The sequence below is a fragment of the Homo sapiens genome, chromosome 10 (genome assembly GCF_000001405.40).
Source record: "Homo sapiens chromosome 10, GRCh38.p14 Primary Assembly".
NCBI classification, from domain to species: domain Eukaryota; kingdom Metazoa; phylum Chordata; class Mammalia; order Primates; family Hominidae; genus Homo; species Homo sapiens.
The window spans coordinates 68,662,403-68,683,593 of record NC_000010.11 but is presented as its reverse complement, the minus strand read 5'-3'; the positions used below and the strand labels follow the sequence as shown (position 1 = coordinate 68,683,593).

The 21,191-nt window shown below is 39.2% G+C and overlaps 1 protein-coding gene and 1 pseudogene across 18 annotated transcripts in view; both read right to left on the bottom strand.

Annotated features, from left to right (window-relative positions):
• Positions 1-21,191, bottom strand: part of TET1 (tet methylcytosine dioxygenase 1) — a 134,151-nt gene that overhangs the window by 10,894 nt on the left and 102,066 nt on the right. For 10 of the 18 annotated variants that reach the window (NM_001406365.1, NM_001406373.1, XM_017016688.2 and 7 more), the window contains 5 exons: positions 16,338-16,549; positions 10,549-10,699; positions 10,107-10,193; positions 2,106-2,195; positions 621-758 (listed from right to left, as the gene is read on the bottom strand). In NM_001406365.1, the coding sequence (NP_001393294.1) occupies positions 621-758; positions 2,106-2,195; positions 10,107-10,193; positions 10,549-10,699; positions 16,338-16,549 (678 nt within the window). Of the gene's footprint in view, positions 1-620; positions 759-2,105; positions 2,196-10,106; positions 10,194-10,548; positions 10,700-16,337; positions 16,550-17,696; positions 17,787-21,191 lie in introns of those variants that run through there. The other 8 variants (NM_030625.3, NM_001406374.1, NM_001406371.1 and 5 more) reach the window with 4 other exon arrangements.
• RPS3AP37 (RPS3A pseudogene 37) lies at positions 8,444-9,290 on the bottom strand (annotated as a pseudogene).

Below are 21,191 nucleotides of genomic sequence, written 5' to 3'. Positions count from 1 at the left end.
AAAAATACAAAAAATTGGCTGGGCGTGGTGACTCACACCTGTAATCCCAGCACTTTTCGAGGCCAAGGTGGGTGGATCACGAGGTCATGAGATCAAGACCATCCTGGCTAACACAGTGAAATCCCATCTCTACTAAAAATACAAAAAATTATCCGGGTGTGGTCGTGGGCGCCTGTAGCCCCAGCTACTTGGGAGGCTAAGGCAGGAGAATGGCGTGAACCCAGGAGGCAGAGGTTGCAGTGAGCTGAGATCGTGCCACTACCCTCTAGCCTGGGCGACAGAGTGAGACTCCGTCTCAAAAAATAAATAAATAAATAAATTTAAAAAAAAGTACTCCTGCCTCCCAGCAAAAACACAACAATTAAATATGTAACATAGCCTTTCAATAAAATGTTTGTTTGAAGCTGGCCCTGTTACTTTTTAGAAGTGCATAGATAATGCATTTAATGAAGACCTGCACTACACACTTATTTCTTTTTTTTCACTTTATTTTCCACTTATTTCTAATAACACATAAATTAAGATTTTTCACAGTAATAGTCATCACAGTATACGTAAGGACTGCAGCCTAAGCATATAGTGATGGAGCTTTTAGAATACAAATTCACACAGGTACATACCACAGTGCTTCCATTATTCATGTTGTGAATGTCCCTGTGGGGATGAGCACAGAAGTCCAGGCAAGCAGTGACCCCAGAGAAGGGACGACCTTCCTTGCTGCCAAGCCGACATTCTCGGGCAACATTTTCATATTCCACCTAGAAAAGAAAGCATGGAGCACAATCTTAAGAGAGAGAAGGAAATCACCTACCTTCAGTAAAGAGTAAAAATAATTTCCTCATGAAGTTTCTAATTAATTACACTTTGTAATTTCTGAGACTAAATGTATTATTGTCATGAAGGTGTAGCTTAGCAACATTCAGGAGAAAGCACTTGACAATACATGGAGTAAAAGGAAAATCACTGAATTTACAAGGGAAGGCAGGGTGAGGATACTAATTCTTGTTGGAGATGGATAAGCAAGTAAAATAGACTCAATCATTCCATTAGAAAGAAAGACCAATAAAAGCGCATTAATCATATACACAGAGTTTTCAATATCCGTAAAAAGAAGATATACATACATTTCATGAACCATTACTGAAAGTCAATTTGTAACTCCTTTTAAAATGAAAAGGTGGATGCTGGGCAGGGTGGCTAATGCCTGTAATCCCAGCAGTTTGGGAGGCTGAGGCGGGCAGATCACTTGTGGCCAGGAGTTCGAGAGCAGCCTGGGAAACATGGTGAAACCCCATCTCTACTAAAAATACAAAAATTAGCGGGGTGTGGTGGCGCATGCCTGTAGTCCCAGCTACTCGGGAGGCTGAGGCAGGAGAATTGCTTGAACCTGCTGGGAGGCAGAGGGTGCAGTGAGCCAAAAGGCTGAGATTGCGCCACAGCACTCCAGCCTGGGCAACAAGAGCAAGACTCTGTCTCAAAAAAAAAAAAAAAAAAAAAAAAGAGTAGATCAATAAAAAGTCCAATTACATAAATGTATGTTAGATAGATATGCTGTGTATGTATATATTTGTTCAAATTTGAAAATTTTTCTATTAACAATGACTGGTTTTTTTTGTTTTTTTTTTTGAGACAGAGTCTTGCTCTGTCACCCAGGCTGGAGTGCAGTGGCATGATCTCAGCTCAATGCAACCTCCACCTCCTGGGTTCAAGTGATTCTCCTGCCTCAGCCTCTTGATTAGCTGGGACTACAGGTGCACACCCACCACACCCAGCTAATTTTTGTATTTTTAGTTGAGATGGGGTTTCACCATGTGGGCCAGGCTATTCTTGAACTCCTGACCTCAGGTGATCCGACTGCCTTGGCCTCCCAAAGTTCTGGGATTACAGGCGTGAGCTAACGAGCTTGGCCAACAATGACTTTTTAAGATATAAAACAGTCTGGCATATCTGTAATCCCAGCATTTTTGGAGGGTGAGGCAGGAGCATTGCTTGAGCTTAGGAGTTTGTAGTAAGCTTTGATCATGCCACTGTACTGCTGCCTGGGCAACAAAGCAAGACCCCACCTCAAATTAATAAATAAATAAAAAGTTCATACCAATACATACCTGATTTTGGTAAGCTACTGGAGCATACTGCTTATAAATTGGAGCTAATCGTGTAGCCAAACTCTGTAAGTTATCTTCAAGGTTTTTTTCCTATAGGAAAACAGAATCCATTAGGTATTTTATAATCGCACCTTCATGTGTTTAAGGTACAACTGAATCATAAATCATGGCTGATGGTGGTTAATGCACAATTCATACTTATCCTGATAAAATAGCTACCACAGAAAATTACACTGCTTCTTTTCTCCATCTAAACTATTAGACATTGTTATGCTTTAATGAAGTCTTTTGAAATGAAAATTCTAAGTTAATTAGAAATTTAAATAGTGTTAGAGATAAATTACAATACTGTTCATGTTGTGAAAAATGAGAGCTATGTTTTATATTTATTCAATAGTATTGCACACTTGGAATAAATGCAAACAACGTTCTTGCTGGCAAGGGGAAATGGCAAGTAACTTGGTTACAATGTAACAGGTTCCTATAACGGAGAAGAGAGAGTACATACATAAAACACCTACTCTGTGTGAGATCCTGTTTCAAATGGAATCCATATGTCCTTATGAATTAAACACATGTCCTTATGGCCCATGAAACAGGAATATTACGCATGATCTCTACGAAAGAGCAAGGTCAGGATAACTGAGAGGTTTAGTAAATGCCTGCAGATCAAAGGAAGTAAGTGGGCAAGTGGTTGTCTATAGTTCTCTTTTCTACACCATAATAACTACAAATTGAAGAAGACTTTGAAGGACTATGAGGACCATTAACACTCAAGAAATCTGGATTGCTACTGATAGAGACATCAGATTTTTTCAAAGGAAAACTATCACATGAGTCTCTATTAGCATGGTGGCTAACGCCTGTAATCCCAACATTTTGGGAGGCCGAGGCGGGCAGATCACTTGAGCTCACAAATTTGAGACCAGTCTGGGGAACTTGGTGAAACTCCACACCTCTCCAAGAAATAAAAAAAATTAGCTGGCCGTGACGGAGTATACTTGCAGTCCCAGCTACTTGGGAGGCTGAGATGGGAAGGTTGCTAGAACCTGGGAGGCTGAAGTGGCAGATCAAGAGATGATATCAAGCCACTGCACTCCGGCCTGGGTGACAGAGCCAGATCTTGTCTCAAAAAAGAAAAACACGTATAGAGAACATGGACTAAACAGGGTGAGTGAGGCTTTCGCCTCATATGCTCATGTGAGATTTGGTGGAAGGAGATGCCATTAACACAGAAAGGAGACCATTATATGAATCAATTGACCTTTGGTATGCATCAAATTATTATAAAAGCCAAAGCTACACAATAATTTAGACACAGCAAGTCAATTATTTAGTGGTTTCTGACAAGCCTCCATCTTAGCAACCGTAAGTGTGACTCATAATCATTTTGGTTTCCTATTGATTTATATTGACTTGATTACACAAAAAAAATCCATAGGATCCATTCATAGATTTGTCTGTTAATCAGGCTACTTTTATCTTAGCCGTTGTAGTTTAAAAAACAGGAAAGTCAGCTGGGCACAGTGGCTCATGCCTGTAATCCCAGCACTTTGGGAGGCTGAGGTGGGCAGATCACCTGAGGTCAGGAGTTCGAGACCAGCCTGGCCAACAAGGTGAAACCCAGCCTCTACTAAAAATACAAAAATTAGCCAGGTGTGGTGGCATGCGCCTGTAGTCCCAGATATTTGGGAGTCTGAGGCAGGAGAATCTATTGAATCTGGGAGGTGAAGATTGCAGTGAGCTGAGACCATGGCATTGCACTCCAGCCTGGGAGACAGAGCCAGACTCTGTCTCAAAAAAACAAAACAAAACAGGAAAGTCATGACCCTACTTTAAAAACATGCCCTCGCTAAACCCATACACTAATTATTATGTTTATTTGGGAGAAACTTTTAAATCAACACCCATTAAAACAATTCTATTTATATCTTCAATCACTGGAAGTATCCAGTGGGCTGGGTAACCGTGTTTTACTACAAGTGGAACAATGCAGAGAAATGTTAACACTTGTGTACTGCTATTGATATGAACACTGGAAAAGTCACATGTAAATTCTATACTTTTTGTATGCAGCATCAGGTTTAAATTCTTTAATATTCTCACATCACTTTACTCTATTTTGTAATAATATTTATTCTGTTGTGGACCACACAGAGTCACAAGTCCTACTGAGGAACAGGTCATCTCAAATTACCTCATTTATTGTGTAGAAGCACTGAAATAAAGTAGACAACTAGAAGCAACTCATAGTTTGTACAGTTCACTGTTGGTATTATTTTATTATTTTTCATCTTTTATTTTTTGAGACAGAGTTTCACTCTGTTGCCCAGGCCGGAGTGTGAGTGCAGCGGCACAATCTCGGCTCACTGTATCCTCCACCTCCCAGGTTCAAGCAATTCTCCTGCCTCAGCCTCCTGAGTAGCTGGAATTACAAGCATGAGCCACCACGCCCGGATAATTTTTTCCATTTTTAGTAGAGACAGGATTTCACCATGTTGGCCATGCTGGTCTTGAACTCCTGACCTCAAGTGATCCACCTGCCTCAGCTTTCCAAAGTGCTGGGGTTACAGGTGTGAGCCACTGTGCCCGGCCCTATTAGTATTATTTTACTATTACAGGCTTATTATTCATATTGTAAAATCCTGACCTTCTAATTATTTCATTAGAATGAACATGCATGTCAGATACAGAGGGAATTACTTAGCAGATCTTTACCTATTGGTGGTCAAGATTAACTCCTTCTCCCACTCTTTTTTTGTGTGTGGGGGGGTGCAGTGGTGCGATCTCAGCTCACTGCAACCTCTGCCTCTCAGGTTCAAGCAATTCTCCTGCCTCAGGCACTTGAGTAGCCGGAATTACAGGTGCCCGCCACCATGCCCGGCTAATTTTTCTATTTTTAGTGGAGACGGAGTTTCACCATGTTAGCCAGGCTGGTCTCAAACTCCTGACCTCAAGTGATCCACCTGCCTTGGCCTCCCAAAGTACGGGGATTACAGATGTAAGCCACCACACCAGGCCTCTGTTCACACTCTGTATCTAATCTCTAGGACCATCATATCCTCATCCACAGCTATACTTACCACTTAGACCATTTCTTAAGTTTCAGATTCCTATTATTGACCTGACATTCCCATGTAGATTTCCCTTAGGAATCTCAATACCAATATATCTAAACTGAATTACTGATCTGCCCTCTACAAACCTGGTCCAATTTCCAGTGTGCCTGATGATAAAGATGAACCCCCCACCCCATATAATTTAAGTGACCATTATCCCCTCCATGGATTGTGCTCATAGATGGTTGGCTCATCTTGCTAAATCCACTCTTGGTTACATTTAGTCTATTGTTCAAACAGCATCTAGAGGGATCTCATTCAAGGGCAAGTGTAAGTATGTCACTCTCCTCCTTAAAACTCTTTGATTCTGGCTGGGCGTGGTGGCTCACGCCTGTAATCCCAGGACTTTGGAAGGCCGAGGTGGGTGGCCTCCCTCCTCACTCTGCCTGGGTGACAGAGTGAGAACCCTTCTCAAAAAATAAAATAAAATAAATAAAAATAAAAAATACTGGTCTGCAATTGTGGCTCATGCCTGTAATCCCAGCAGTTTGGGAGGCCAAGGCAGGCGAATCACCTGAAGTGGGGAGTTCAAGACCAGCCTGGCCAACATGGAGAAACCCCATCTATACTAAAAATACAAAATTAGCTGGGCGTGGTGGCGCATGCCTGTAATCCCAGCTACTTGGGAGGCTGAGGCAGGAGTTGCAGTGAGCCGAGATCACACCATTGCACTCCAGCCTGGGCAAGACCGAAACTCCGTCTCAATTAAAAAAATTGCCAGGCAGGGTGGCACATGCCTGTAATCCCAGCTTTGGAGTTGAGAAAGGAGAATCCCTTGAGCCCAGGAGTCCAGCCAGAGCAACATAGTGAGGCCCCGTATCAAAAAATAAAATAACATTATTTCTGAACATAAGTTCCATCCAGGTCAAGACACTTTTGTAAGTGACAATATTGGACATTTAATCCATTTCTAAAGCATGGAGCACTTTGGGAATTTAACCATGTCAATATAGTTTTGTTGTTGTTGTTGTTTCTTTACATTATTAAGTGAAGAAAAATAGGTGCCCTTTACGGATTTTTTTAAGATTAGGAAACAAAAAGAAATCAGAAGGAGTTAAATCAGGACTATAGGGTGGATGCCTAATGAGTTCCCATTGATACACTTTGCAAAACTGCCCCCGTTTGATGAGAGGAATGAGCAGGAGCATTCTTGCGGTGGAGAAGGACTCTCTGGTGGAGCCTTCCTGGGCTATTTTCTGCTAAAGCTTTCTCCAACTTTCTCAAAACACTTTCATAATAAGCAGATGTTATTTTTGTTTGGCCCTCCAAAAAGTGAGCAAGGAAAATGCCTTAAGCATCCCAAAAAAACTGTTGCCATGAACTTTGCTCTTTACTGGTCCACTTTGGTTTTGACTGGACTTCCTATACCTCTTGCTGGCGTTTGCTTTGATTATGCTTTGTCTTCAGGATTATGCTGGTAAAGCCATGCTCCATCTCCTGTTGTAATTTTAAGAATGCCTCAGGATCTTGATCCCACTTGTTTAAAATTTCTATTCTTTTCTGCAGCTGAGCTGGGAACAACAGTTTTGGAACCCATCAAGTAGGAAGTTTGCACAACTATAATGTTTCAGTAAGAATTGTGTAGGCTGAACCAGTTGATATATCTATTCAGTTAGGGAACAAACAAGATTAATGTTTCCTCAAAAATTGATGTGGGCCAGGCACAGTGGCTCACATCTATAATCCCAGCACTTTGGGAGGCGGAGGAGGGCAGATCATCTGAGGTCAGGAGTTCGAGACCAGCCTGGCCAATATGATGAAATCCCATCTCTACGAAAAAAAAATACAAATGGCCAGGTCAGGCACGGTGGCTTACGCCTGTAATCCTAGCACTTTGGGAGGCTGAGGCAGGCGGATCACAAGGTCAAGAGATTGAGATCATCCTAGTGAAACCCCATCTCTACTAAAAATACAGAAAATTAGCCGGCTGTGGTGGTGGGCGCTTGTAGTCCCAGCCACTTGGGAGGCTGAGGCAGGAGAATGGCGTGAACCTGGGAGGCGGAGTTTGCAGTGAGATGAGATCGCGCCACTGCACTCCAGCCTGGGTGACAGAGCAAGACTCCGTCTCAGAAGAAAAAAAAAAAAAAAAAAAAAAAAAAAATATATATATATATATATATATATATATATATACACATACATACATATATATGTGTATATATATACATATATATCTTGTGTATACACACACACACACACACACACACACACAAAAGGCCAGGTGCTGTGGCTCACACCTATAATCCCAGCACTTTGGGAGGCTGAGGTGGGTGGATCACAGGGTCAGGAGTACAAGACCAGCCTGGCCAAGATGGTGAAACCCCGTCTCTACTAAAAATACCAAAAATTAGCCAGGCATGGTGGCGGGAGCCTGTAATCCCAACTACTCAGGAGGCTGGGATAGGTGAATCACTTGAACCCGGGAGGTGGAGGTTGCAGTGAGCCGAGATCAAGCCATTGCACGTCAGCCTAGGCAATAAGAGCGAAACTCCATCTCAAGACAACAACAACAAAATAGCTTTATAAAAGAGCCTAGGTATTAATTGGGCACCTGGCAAGGAGTAGGGACTGTCATTGATCTTGGGCCAAATATTTTTCCTTGAACAGCCAGAGAGGGCCAATTTTATCTTAATTTCTAAAAATCTGCCTGGCCACAGTGTCTCATGCCTGTAATCCCAGCACTTTGAAAGGCTGAGTTAGGCAGATCACCTGAGGTCAGGTCCAGTGAGTGAGCTGAGATCACATCACTGCACTCCAGCCTGGATGACAGAGCGAGACCCAGACTCAAAAAAAAAAAAAAAAAAATGACGTGGATAGTTTGACGCTTTGGCCTTCATCTTCAAAATCGTCCCATCCGTTCTTAAAATGAGCTATCCATTTGTAAACTGCAGATTTCTTTGGGGCAGTGCCCATAAGCTTTTTATAAGGCATCAACGATTTTATCATTCTTCCACCCAAGCTTCACCAGAAATTTGATGTTTGTTCTTGCTTCAATTTTAGCACAATTCATGTTGCTCTGATAGAGGCAGTTTATAAACTGACATCTTATCCTTCTTAGTGCATCAAACTAGACCCCATTCAGGCATGTTACAAGTAAGTATGAGTTTATTTTGGTGAAAATTATTATGAAATCCATACATAGTTTATTCATAATATGCATTTTCCTTGAATGTTTTGAAGATCCTTTATGTTTATCAACTAACAGACACTTTTTTCCCCCACAAATATGACTTTTTATTTGCCACTACTATAAGTCTGAACTTTAAACAGATTCTTGGACTAGTGGTTCATATCCATCAGCTCGTTCTACTTTAGCACCTGTTTTGTCCTCAGTGGCTTTTCCAGAACTGCTACCTTCACCATAAAGCTCCATGAGTTTCCCCAATTCAAAGCTAGGCTTCTTCAGCATTTTAACTTATCTAACAAAGACATCATGGAGAGGATAGATTGGCAAGAATTTTTTCTATGTCTTTTCCAATCCTGTCTGGAATCAATTTATTGACCACTTCTTTCAAGTAATTTGTCTGCACCTCTCGGGTCATGATTTCCATCAACTTGTTCCAGATTTGGCCGAAACATTGGTGCTAAGCATAAGAGGTCTTCCGTATCTGATTGTTGCATTTTTTAGTAAAACCAACACAGAACACATGAAGCAAGTAAGCACCGGTAGTCTTGATATTGACATGACCTTCAACCATTGTCTGCCATTTTTTGACCATGAAACATATTTTGTCACAGGTAAGATCCACGCCATGGAAGCTCATCAGGCAATCATTCCCCTGAACATCTTCAGTAATCAGCTGAATTTTCTAAATGCAACTTTATCATTCTGCATATCAGCAAGACTCACTTCAAATACACGACCCTTGAGGCCATCAGATTCAATTATGGTTCCTTGGGTTCTGGTGACTAGTGTCTTCCCAATATTTCTTATATTGAACATGGCAGATGCTTTCACGTAATACAAATCTTTCTTAGAAAATGGATCAAGCACTTTCTTCTTGGCTCCCTTTGTGCTGCCTTATTCTTGCCAACCACTACAGTGCTGCTCAGAGAGCCAAAAAGGGACAGATACTTTTATCATATAATATTTAGAAAGAAAACCTAGCTGGTTGGTTCAAGCCAACCTCCCACCTCAGCCTCCTTAGTAGCTGGGACTACAGATCTCACCTGAGATCCGGAGTTCGAGATTAGCCTGGCCAACATGGTGAAACCTCATCTCTACTAAAAATACTAAATTAGCTGGGCATGATGGTGGTGCATGCCTGTAATCTCAGCTATTTGGGAGGCTAAGGCAGGAGAACTGCTTGAACCTAGGAAGTGGAGGTTGCAGTGAGCCAAGATCACACCTTTGTACTCCAGCCTGGGCAACAAGAGCGAAACTCTGTCTCAAAAAAAAAAAAAAAAAAGAAAAAGAAAAAGAAAAAAAAAAAAGAAAAAGAAAGAAATCTGATAAAAAAATGATGTATCATAGACTCTTAGAATAACTACATTGATATTAACTTTTTAAATATTTTGATGTTACTGCTGTTACATGTAAGAAAGGTAAGTATTGTTTTCAGATAGGTCTAATTATTTTCTTATGTCTATGTATGTGTATAGTGGCTTGTAATATAAAATGTTTTTTACTCTTGGTCACTGCTCAAAGATTAAAAGATATCAATCTTATAGTTAATCAATATATAAATCCTCACTACACAAACAAAGCATAACACATTAGAATACTTAGTTCCTATTGGTGCCCCACCCCCTCCCACTGCCTACCCACCCACGAGCTGATAAAGGTGTGGAGTTATACTTATAGGTTATTTTAATTTAATATAATATATAAGTATTGAACTTATTTAACTTAACACCAAGTTCGACTAATTTCTTTGCTCACCATGGCCTCGTGTCCCGGACTGATTCGTTCCGGTTTCATATATCTTCTTTCTGGATTACGTCCTTTAGTAATTCTTTCATAGTAGGTCTGTGGGTAGTAAACTTTCTGAGTCTTTGAAATTTTGGCAAATGGGTTTTTCCTATTTTGGCTGAGTATAAAATTCTAGGTTCTTTTAATGATGATTTTGCTGGGGTGGGGTAGTAGAGCAGGAGGAGGAAGCCAGGGACAATTGGAATTTGGGGAGATAGCTAAAGTCTTTACCTAATTTATTTAGAGTCTTAATTAATTTATTTACTTATATAATAGAAATATAATTTTACTATTTGATTACTACTTTTCAATATTTAGTTTTTATAGTGTTTCAAAAAATGTTAAAGGAATGCACTTACATATTCAATGTGTAATTCAAAAATAAATTATTTGAATAAAGAAGGACACTTACATGTAAGGGAGAGCTTGGATCAATTCTAAATCTTCTGGGGCTTGGGCTTCTACCAAACTTACAGCCATTAAAGTACATACTCCATGAACAGCCAAAAGAGAATGAAGCTCCACAAGTCTCTGGATCAATTCCTTGACATGTACAGGTACGACTGTAAGATTGTAATTCAAGAGAGTGAATTGATGAAGCATTACAATACCTCAGAGAGAACATTTCAGGTTTCTATAGCTTTAGAAGGATGGATGCCTAAAGAACCGGTTATAACACTTATCTATTATATTACTTATTTAAAATAGTTTAATGTTAACAATAAAAAGCTAACTTTTGTTTTTTCAAGAAATCTGACTAGGGGACCAGGGTTAACTATACTTTATTATAACCAAATTTTTAGCAGAAATATTTGGTCATGATTGCAAATCCAAATAAGTGGGAATAAACTATACAGATCTAAAATACTCACAGTATTGTTTGATTTGGAGATGTCTGAGATAGGGAAATAAAGAACCTGGGTTTTTCTTTTTTTTTTTTTTGGTGTTTTTTTTTTTTTTTTTTTTTTTTGAGATGGGGTCTAGCCCTGTCACCAAGGGTGGATTGCCGTGGCACAATCTCGGCTCACTGCAACCTCTGCCTCCCAAGTTCAATCGATTCTGCTGCTTCAGCCTCCTGAGTAGCCGAGATTACAGGTGTGCGCCACCACGCCCAGCTAATTTTTTTATTTTTAGTAGAGACGGGTTTCATCAGGTTGGCCAGGCTGGTCTCAAACTCCTGACTTCAAGTTATCTACCCTCCCAAAGTTCTGGGATTACGGGTGTGAGGCACTGAGCCTGGACAGAACCTGGTTTTTAAATCTGGGTTTTAAATCCTGGATTTGTTCCATATCACAAATGAAAATTTAGAACATTTTATTACTGCTTTGGAATTCAGCTGCTTTATATCTAAAATGAGACGGATATAATTTTCTAAGGATTGAAAAACAATATATATTTTATATAAAAACAGTTTCTTGGCCAGGTGTGGTGGCTCACTACTGTAATCCCAGCCCTTGGGAGGCCAAGGTGGGCGGATCATGAGGTCAGGAGTTCAAGACCACCCTGACCAACATGGGGAAACCCCATCTCTACTAAAAGTACAAAAAATAGCCTGGCACAGTGGCAGGAGAATTGCTTGAACCCAGGAGGCGGAGGTTGCAGTGAGCTGAGATCGTGCCATGGCACTCCAGCCTGGGTGACAGAGCAAGACTCCATCTCAAAAAACAAAAACAAAAACAAAAACAAAACAGTTTCTGAATTTTAAAAACTTTAAAAAGTGCATAATAGAAAAAAATGGAGCAGAAAACCGGTTACATTTAATTAAATCTTAAGTGTATAACTTTTAGGGCATTTCTAAAGCCTTAAACTAAACTATATGCTAAGAATGACAACGAAAGTACCATATATTCTTCTTGTAGTTATAAAACTGTATGCTCTTCCAATCCCATTACTGGGTATATACCCAAAGGAGTATAAATCGTTCTACCATAAAGACACATGCATGTGAATGTTCACTGCAGTGCTATTCACAATACCAAAGACACGTAATCAACCTAATTGCCCATCAATGACAGATTAGATAAAGAAAATGTGGTACACATACACCACAGAATAGTATGCAGCCACAGAAAAGAACATAATCGTGTCTTTTGTGGGAACATGAATAAAGCTAAAGGCCACTATCCTTAGCAAACTAACACAGGAACAAAAGATGAAATATTGCATGTTCTCACTTATAAGTAGGAGTTAAGTGATGAGAATTCATGGACCCAAAGAGGGGAACAACAGACACTGGGGCCTACTTGAGGATGGAGGGTGGGAAGACAGAGAGGATCAGAAAAAATAACCATTGGATACTAGCTTAGTAGCTGGCTGGTGAAATAATCTGCACAACAAACCCCTGTGACATGAATTTACCTAAATAAAAAACCTGCAAATGCACTCCTGAACCTAAAATGAAAGTTAAAAAAGGATTGCATGATTTTAAATTCCACCAGAAAGAAAGAACAAAAAAAACAGTAAAAGAATAATTAAGTAAAAAATAAAATTGCATAATGCTTACAACTTAGTATATATTGTACTTATATAATGATTAAAATATAAAACAATAAAGAAACCAATTATTTTGAAAAAGTGAAAATAATATAAAAATTTAGAAAAAAACTATTTTTTATGTTTTCACTGTGAAAGCCTGGAAAATGCCTGATACGTAACTTAGCATTGCTTATAAAAGAAAGACTACGATGAAATTCACTAAATGAGATGCAAATGGAATGAAAATGGTTAAAACATTTTGAATAGAATAAATTAAAGTTGCCAAACAAATAGAAACATAAGAAATTTATTCATATCATTGAAAAAGACATGGAAGGAGAGAAAAATGTTGTTTAACTTACTATGTACTATTATTTTAAAAATGAAACACAGAGGAAATGTGATAAGTTGTGAGATCTAGAAGAGCATCCTCAGATTATTTTAAATAGTCAACAACACCAATAGTGGGACAAATTGCACTGAGTGTAATAGTCCAGGTTATATTTCATCTTTTTAATTATTTTTTCTTTTGTTTCAGCCATCTTTGGCTATAGGTTGTATTTCATAGCCTGACTTAAGTCAGGAAGAAACAGATAAACCAAAATTGATTAACAGTCTATAGAATTAGCCTTTTCGCTTCAAAAATTTCAATGTCATGACAGACAAAAACTGAGAAAACAAAAAGGATTAAGGGAGCAAAAGGACAAAATAACTAAATGCATTCAATCATGGACAGGGGAAAATTATTGGGAAATGGATGATATTTGAATATGAACTAAGATGAGATCACAGTATTTTATCAAATTTAAATTTCCTGAATTTGATCATTATATGGGGATATACAAGAGAACAATCCTCATTTTTAGGATAAATACATTCAAGTATTATTTAGGGAAAAAGACAAAGTCTACATCTAGCTCTCAAATGATCAAGAAAGAAATAAGTCTACAACAGTAACGTGTTTGTATGTGTACGTAAACAAATGTAACATAGTGTTAACAATTGTGGAATCTAAGTAAGGGTATATAAGAGTTTACCAGGCCGGGCACGGTGGCTCACGTCTGTAATCCCAGCACTTTGGGAGGCTGAGGCGGGTTTGAGACCAGCCTGGCCAACATAGTGAAACCTCGTCTCTACTAAAAATACAACAACAACAACAACAAAAATTAGCTGGACGTGGTGGCGGGCGCCTGTAATCCCAGGTACTTGGGAGGCTGAGGCAGGAAAACTGCTTGAACCCAGGAGGCGGAGGTTGCAGTGAGCCAAGATTGCACCACTGCACTCCAGCCTGGGCGACAGTGCGAGACTCTGTCTTAAAAGAGTTCACTGGGCTGGACGTGGTGGCTCACGCCTGTAATCCCAGCACTTTGGGAGGCCGAGGTGGGCGAATCACGAGGTCAGGAGATCAAGACCATCCTGGCTAACATGGTGAAACCCCGTCTCTACTAAAAATACAAAAAAAAACCCCCCCAAAAAATACAAAAAAATACAAAAAAAAAAAAAAAAAAGCTGGGCATGGTGGCAGGCGCCTGTAGTCCCAGCTACTTGGGAGGCTGAGACAGGAGAATGGCGTGAACCTGGGATGCAGAGTTTGCAGTGAGCTGAGGTCACGCCACCGCAACTCAACCTGGGCGACAGAGTGAGACTCTGTCTCAAAAAGAAAAAAGGAAAAAAAAGACTCCGCTGAAGTATTCTTACATCTTTCTGTATTTGTGAACTGTTTTTTTTTTGTGGGGGGTGGTGAGGGGAAGACTTGATCATGCTCTGTCAAGTGCACTGGCAAAATCAGAGCTCACTGTAACGGCAAACTCCTGGCCTCAAGCCATCCTCCCTCCTCAGCTTTCAAAGTAGCCAGGAACACAGGCACACACCACTATGCCTGGTTTTAAAAATTTTGTGTAGGGATAGGTTCTCAAACTCTTGGTTTCAAGAAATCCTCCTGCTTTGATCAGGCATGAGCCAGTACATCAGGCCCATGAAGTTCTCTCTCTCTCTCTCTCTCTCTCCTTTTGCCATGTTGCTCAGGTTGGAGTTCAGTGGCATCATCATAGTTCACTGCAGCCTCAAATTCCTGGGCAACAGCAATCTTTCCACCTCAGCCTCCTAATTACCTAAGGACTACAGGCATATGCCATCATTCCCAAACAGTTTTTTTAAAAAAATATTTTTGTAGAGATGGAGTCTTACTATGTTGCCTGGTCTGGCTTTTGAACTCTTGGCCTTAAGTGGTCCTCCCTTGTCGGCCTCCCAAAGCGCATGCCTGTAGTCCCAGCTACTCAGGAGGCTGAGGCAGGAGAATCGCTTGAACCCGGGAGGCAGACATTGCAGTGAGCCAAGATTGCGCCACCGCACTCCAGCCTGGTGACAGAGCGAGACTCCGTCTCAAAAAAACAAAACAACAAGAACAACAACAAAACTTATCTCCTCTTACAACTATTCACCAGTGATTCATTAAATGTATGAGAGATTTAAATTTCAAAAATTTATATTTTAAACAAGTATAGTCATTTCTCACTTGATGTCAACAGGCTGTTAGAAACTGATTATAAGTGAAACCACCTAGAGCAGTTCCCCGAATATCGCTCAATATTGCTACAGCGTTGATGAGAAAAATATTGGTTTCATTATATGTTGCTTTGCTTAAAGTCATAGAAAAACATGCCTAAATACCACTCAACATCCAGATCCAAATAAGGAAAAAGATGGGTATGTTTGATTGCATCAAAAACAAAACCTTTTGTGGGAGATAACATAGCCAAAGGAAAAAGACAAACTGAGAAAAATATTTGCAAATTATATCACAGAATAAGAGTTAATAGCACCATCAGAGAGAAAATAGATAAATGGAGGAATTCTCTGCAAAAATGGGCTAGGTTATTTAACAGGTGGTTAAAACAAACAAACAAAAAAAGCCAAATGGTTTTTAGTCATGTGAAAAAAATACTCTCATTCATAAGAGAAATTCAGGTCAAAATTACACTGATGTCATTTCTCTTAATAGGCAAAAACTCACATTTGCCAACATAATCATTGGTAAGACTACAGAAAAACAGATATTCTCTTACATTGAATAGAGGAAATGCAAAATGATATGACACTCCTGTGGAAGACCATTCTTTTAAGTCAAAATCCCTTTCCTCCAGACTCTAGAAGTGAGTTGGGTCAGCAATATTCTTTCATTGCTTCCCTTTTTGGGAAGCAATGAAATAATATTCTTTTCTTTTTTGTTTTTTTTTTTTGAGATGGAGTCTCGCTCTGTCACCCAGGCTGGAGTGCAGTGGCACAATCTCAGCGCACTGCAAGCTCCGCCTCCCGGATTCACACCATTCTCCTGCCTCAGCCTCCTGAGTAGCTGGGACTGTAGGCGCCCGCCACCACGCCCGGCTAATTTTTTGTATTTATAGTGGAGACATATTAGCCAGGATAGTCTTGATCTTCTGACCTCATGATCCTCCTGCCTCGGCCTCCCAAAGTGCTGGGATTACAGGCATGAGCCACTGCACCTGGTCACAGTGAAGTAATATTCCAAAGGAGAATGATTTAAAGTAACCTTAACTCACTATAAAATAGAGACTCTCTCTTTACAGAAATGTTCATTCTTTTTAATTCCACAATACTCAAATCCTATTCTCCCATATAATATACATAGTTGGTAGCTAATTAACAATTTTACCAATATGTAATAGAGATCTGAATGGTAAGGCAGTATAAAACAGATTTAATTACTTTTCATTGAGGGTGCATCTTCTGTCGGTAGGGTGCCCATTGTATGACTTTAGATTCTCTGTGAGCTCTGTGTATAGCCGGTCGGCCATTGGAAGAGGGATGCCATCCCACACCATGATGAGCACCACCATCACAGCAGTTGGACAGTGGTGGCCTGTACGCTGCCGGACCAAACAAAGAACTTTTTCTTCATCACTGCTTCTTCTTAAAACCTGAAAAAACAGAATACATTCATCTATGGAAGACAAGTATGCCAAATTTGAATGCAATGGATATTCCTTTTGATGTTCTCCATGATTATATTTTAGTTTATTTACTTAATTTATAAAATCTGTTCTACAGACGGGGTCTAACTATGTTACCAAGGCTGGTCTCAAACTCCTAGCTTCAAGCAATCCTCCTTCCTTGGCCTCCCAAAGATCTGGGATTACAGACATGTGCCTCCATGCCCGGCCATATTTTAGTTTTTTTAAAGTTACTACTTCTCAAGGGATAAAACCCTGTAGGACTTTCCACTGCCTCAACAGTTCCCTCCATGAGACTCATCACAAGAGTACCTGAACCTATATGACTAACAAACAACAGGCAGAACAAAAATCTGTGACACGTGGTTATTATTTGTAGAAGTAGTACAAGGCAGTCTGTGTTTTATTTCACTGCTGTTATAGTTTGCACAACAGACAAGAGAGGGCCCGGTAGAAAACTGCACTGAAATTCCACAAATGTCACAAGGGAACAAATGTAGACGATGGAAAAAAACCATCTAATGTAGTTAGATGGAAATAACCAAGAACTCTCAACATTAAAAATAAACTTGACAACGAATTTTGGCCATCTGAGGAATGTTATGGCTTTTCCTTTGGGTGACTCATTTTACTATCGAGAATTAATATACACAAAGGAATGCCTCTGTGGTTTCTATGATTTTTACATGTTATTGGAAGGATGCATTATATGCATTTTATTCATAAGACTAATGTGGTCTACTTGACTTGGTGAATGCAAAATAGAAAAATTAATTGTAAATATTTATTTGTTTATTTAATACTGCATCCAATTATTGGGATGTTAAAAAGGCTTCGGCAGTATTTAAAATTTGCTCAGTGGTCTGAGTGTTAACTACAAAAAAAAAAAATTCTATACAAATGTTGTCACCACATAAAACCATCCAACCATTTAAAACTGCCTCCATGTATCAAAAATTTAGAAAGTGCAGAGATTGACCACATTAATCAGTACATAACCAGGACATGATGAAAACGCCCATCCATGTGACCAGAATGGAGCAACCAATAGCATAATTTTTTGTTGCTATAATATTACAAAACTTGAGATGAAACTTCTTAAGAAGTTAGTTACCCAATATCACTTTCTTCTGTCACTCCAGATGGTTAACAATCATTGCTACCAAGGCATCCCTTGAGTAGAGTTGGCTTTAGGACCTTCCCCCTAGACACAATTATTTATATTAAAATTTTTTCTATATTTATACGTCCTCTTACAGCCAAATAATAACACAGTGCTTGCAAATAATCTCAAATGCAAAATTATATATATATATAGTACCAAAATTATTTTGGTTAATATTCAAGTTGTCAAAATTAACAATGAATTTATATTAATAAAGTTTTTGTATAGGAAATGCTAAAAAGCTTTTTACTGATGATATTTGTGCCTTTTCTGGATATTCCAAGTTTCCATCAGTGTACAATAGAAAATTAAGCACAATGGTTAGGAGTCTTTAAATTCAAATCTGAGCTCCATAAACTGCTTAAATATTAAATCCGTAAGGCTTCTGGAAACTAAAACTATTATTAAAATAAACAAAGGACTAACTATATGCAGAGGAGTATAAATTCATGGAATAGACATTATTATAATTACGTCAATTTTCCCAAAATTGATCTCTAGATTCAATGCAATCCCAATCAAAACCCTATCAGAGGTTCGTGTGTATGTGTGTGTGTGTGTGTGTATGTGTAAACTGACCAATTGTTCCAAAGTTTATGAAAGAAAATGAATCTTGACCCCTACCTCACATTGATCAACTTGAATTATAATGTGTATCTAAACACAAAAAATAAAGCAATGAAGAATTTTAGAAGAAAACATCTTCATGACCTAGGAGTGGGCAAAGCATTTTAAAATGGCTTACACCAAATCTGCTAATTGAAAAGATAAAAAAGGCTGGGTGCCGCAGCTCACACTTGTAATGCCAGGATTTCGGAACGTAGAGGTGAGAGGATTGCTTGAGGCCAAGAGTTCGAGGCCAGCCTGAGCAACATACTGAGACTCAGTCTCCACAAAAAATAAAATAAACCCGGCATAGTGGCATGTACCTGTAGTCCCAGTTGCTCAGAAGGCTGAGGGGGGAGGATCCCTTGAACCTGGGAAGCCGAGGTTGCAGTGAGCACAGCTTGCACCACTGCACTCCAGCATGGGCGACAGAAACTCCATCCCCGCCAAAAAATAAAATAAAAAAATAAAGAAGGCAAGCAGGAGGATCACTTGAGATGGGAGAGTTCAAGGCTATCATCATGAACTTCAGCCTGGGCAACAGAGTAAAAAAAAAAAAAAAAAAAAAAATGCAGGCTGGGCGCACCTCCCAGCACTTTGGGAGGTGGTTAGATCACTTGAGGTCGGGAATTTGAGACCAGCTTGGGCAACATGGTGAGACCTTGTCTCTTCAATAAAACACAAAAATGAGCCGGGTGTGGACACCTGCCTGCAGTCCCAGCTACTTGGGAGGCTTAGGCGGGAGCCGAGGTTGCAGTAAGCCCAGATCTCGCCACTGCACTCCAGCATGGGAGACAGAAACTCTGTCTCAAAAAAATTAAAAAAAATAAAAAAATAAAGAAGGCAAGCAAAAGGGCAGGAGAAATATTTACATGACATATATTTGACATGATATATATATACACATTATATATATTTACATTACATATATTTGGCATAATATATACGACACAACATATACAGAGAATTGCCCCCATAGAAAATTGGCAGAAAAAATTGAATAGGCACTTCACAATAGAGAATATGAAAATAGATGATGAGCATATGAATATATGTCCGACAATATTTGTCACCTAGCAAAGTAAAACACAGTAAAAAGGAGCTACCCAGGCCGGCACCGTGGCTCATGCCTGTTATCCTAGCACTTTGGGAGGTGGAGGTTGCAGCGAGCCAAGACTGCAACACTGCACTACAGCCTGCGCGATGGGAGCAAGACTCCATCTCAAAAAAAAAAGGAGGTACCTACGTTGGTGGAGAGAAGAGAGTGTTGTGATAAAGATACTGTTAAATTTCCAAGAGGCAACTGCAGCTAAGATTATTCTTGAATATTCGAGGCTTGGACAGAAGCAGCTCAAAGCCCCATAGAGGTTTTTGCTACAGCAGGCAAATTTGGCTTCTAGTCATGTCACATGCATATAGGAAACAGAAAAACCAAGTATTTAAACAGCTTTTTAATTACCCTCCTTCCAAAAACCAGGAGAACACTAAAGGTATACACATTCTTGTTCTGTGTGTACAAAAATATACTATCTATTCCTAATGTCAATGAATACTATAGTGACATTTAATTATTTTTCTACTATATTCACTAACTTCTTGCTGGTATACAGACTTCATAATTGTTCTACAGTCCTATTTGAAACAGACAATATGATATATGACTGGTATTAAAATAATAGGACACAATTATTATAGCTATAATAGTCTTTCTAGAATATTTTTCAAGAGAATCACAGAAAAATCTACTTGATTTTTAAAGAAAGTAAAACAATTGGATCCTTATATACTGAGGATGCAATAGCTTTACTATATAGTGGGAATAACCAGATAGAAGTTTGGTTTAAAGTCTGATATCTCAGTAAGGTTGTTAAAAAACAGAAAGATGCAAAAAACCTAAGAATAAAACTATAAAAAATGCAGAGAAGGTTATAAAAGAAAGTTCAGTTGGAAGAACATAATAGTGTTCCTAAATGAGAAAGCCAACCCTAAATGTCTAGCCACAAATCTCTCCCCCAGTCTGTTCAAATTTAGCGTGCTTCTAAGGTTCATATGGAAGGGTAAATGAGCATCATGTCAGGAAAATTTGTTTTTAAAGAATTAGAGGGTACAAGTGCAGTTTTATTACATGGATATATTGGGCAGTGGTGAAGTCTTGGGCTTTTTGTATACTCACTTCCAAAATAGTGAACATTGTACCCAACAGGTAATTCTCCAACCCTCAAGAGAAACGTTTTTTAAACAAATAAGGGAACTGCCCTTCTAAATTGAAGTTTGTTCTTTTAAAACTGTTCTTTTTTTGTTTTGTTTTCTTTTCCTTTTGGAGACAGTGTCTCACTATGTCACCTTGGCTGGAGTGCAGTGGTTTGATCATGGCTCACTGTATGCAGCCTTTAACATCATTTAAAAGCTCTCCAGGCTCATTCGATCCTTCCGCCTAACCCTCCCAAGTAGCTAGAACTACAGGTGCTTGCCACCGTGCTTGGCTACTTCTTTGTATTTTTGGTAGAGATGAGGTCTGGCTATGTTGCCCAGGTTTGTCTCAAACTCCAGGCCTCAAGCGATCTGTGCATTTCAGCCTCCCAAAGTGCTGGGATTACAGGTGTGAGGGCCCACGCCCAGCCATGATAAAACCAGCCATGGTCTATTATACATACACATATTATATATATGTGGTCTATTATACATATTTACAAAAGTATAATAGAAGATAACCTAAAAAAAGGCTATGAAGAGTGAATTCATGGAAGAAATAAAAATTAATAATACGTAAAATTTATTATTAATAAAAATTAATAATAAGTAAAGACATCCAACTTTGCTAGTTACAATGCAAATTGA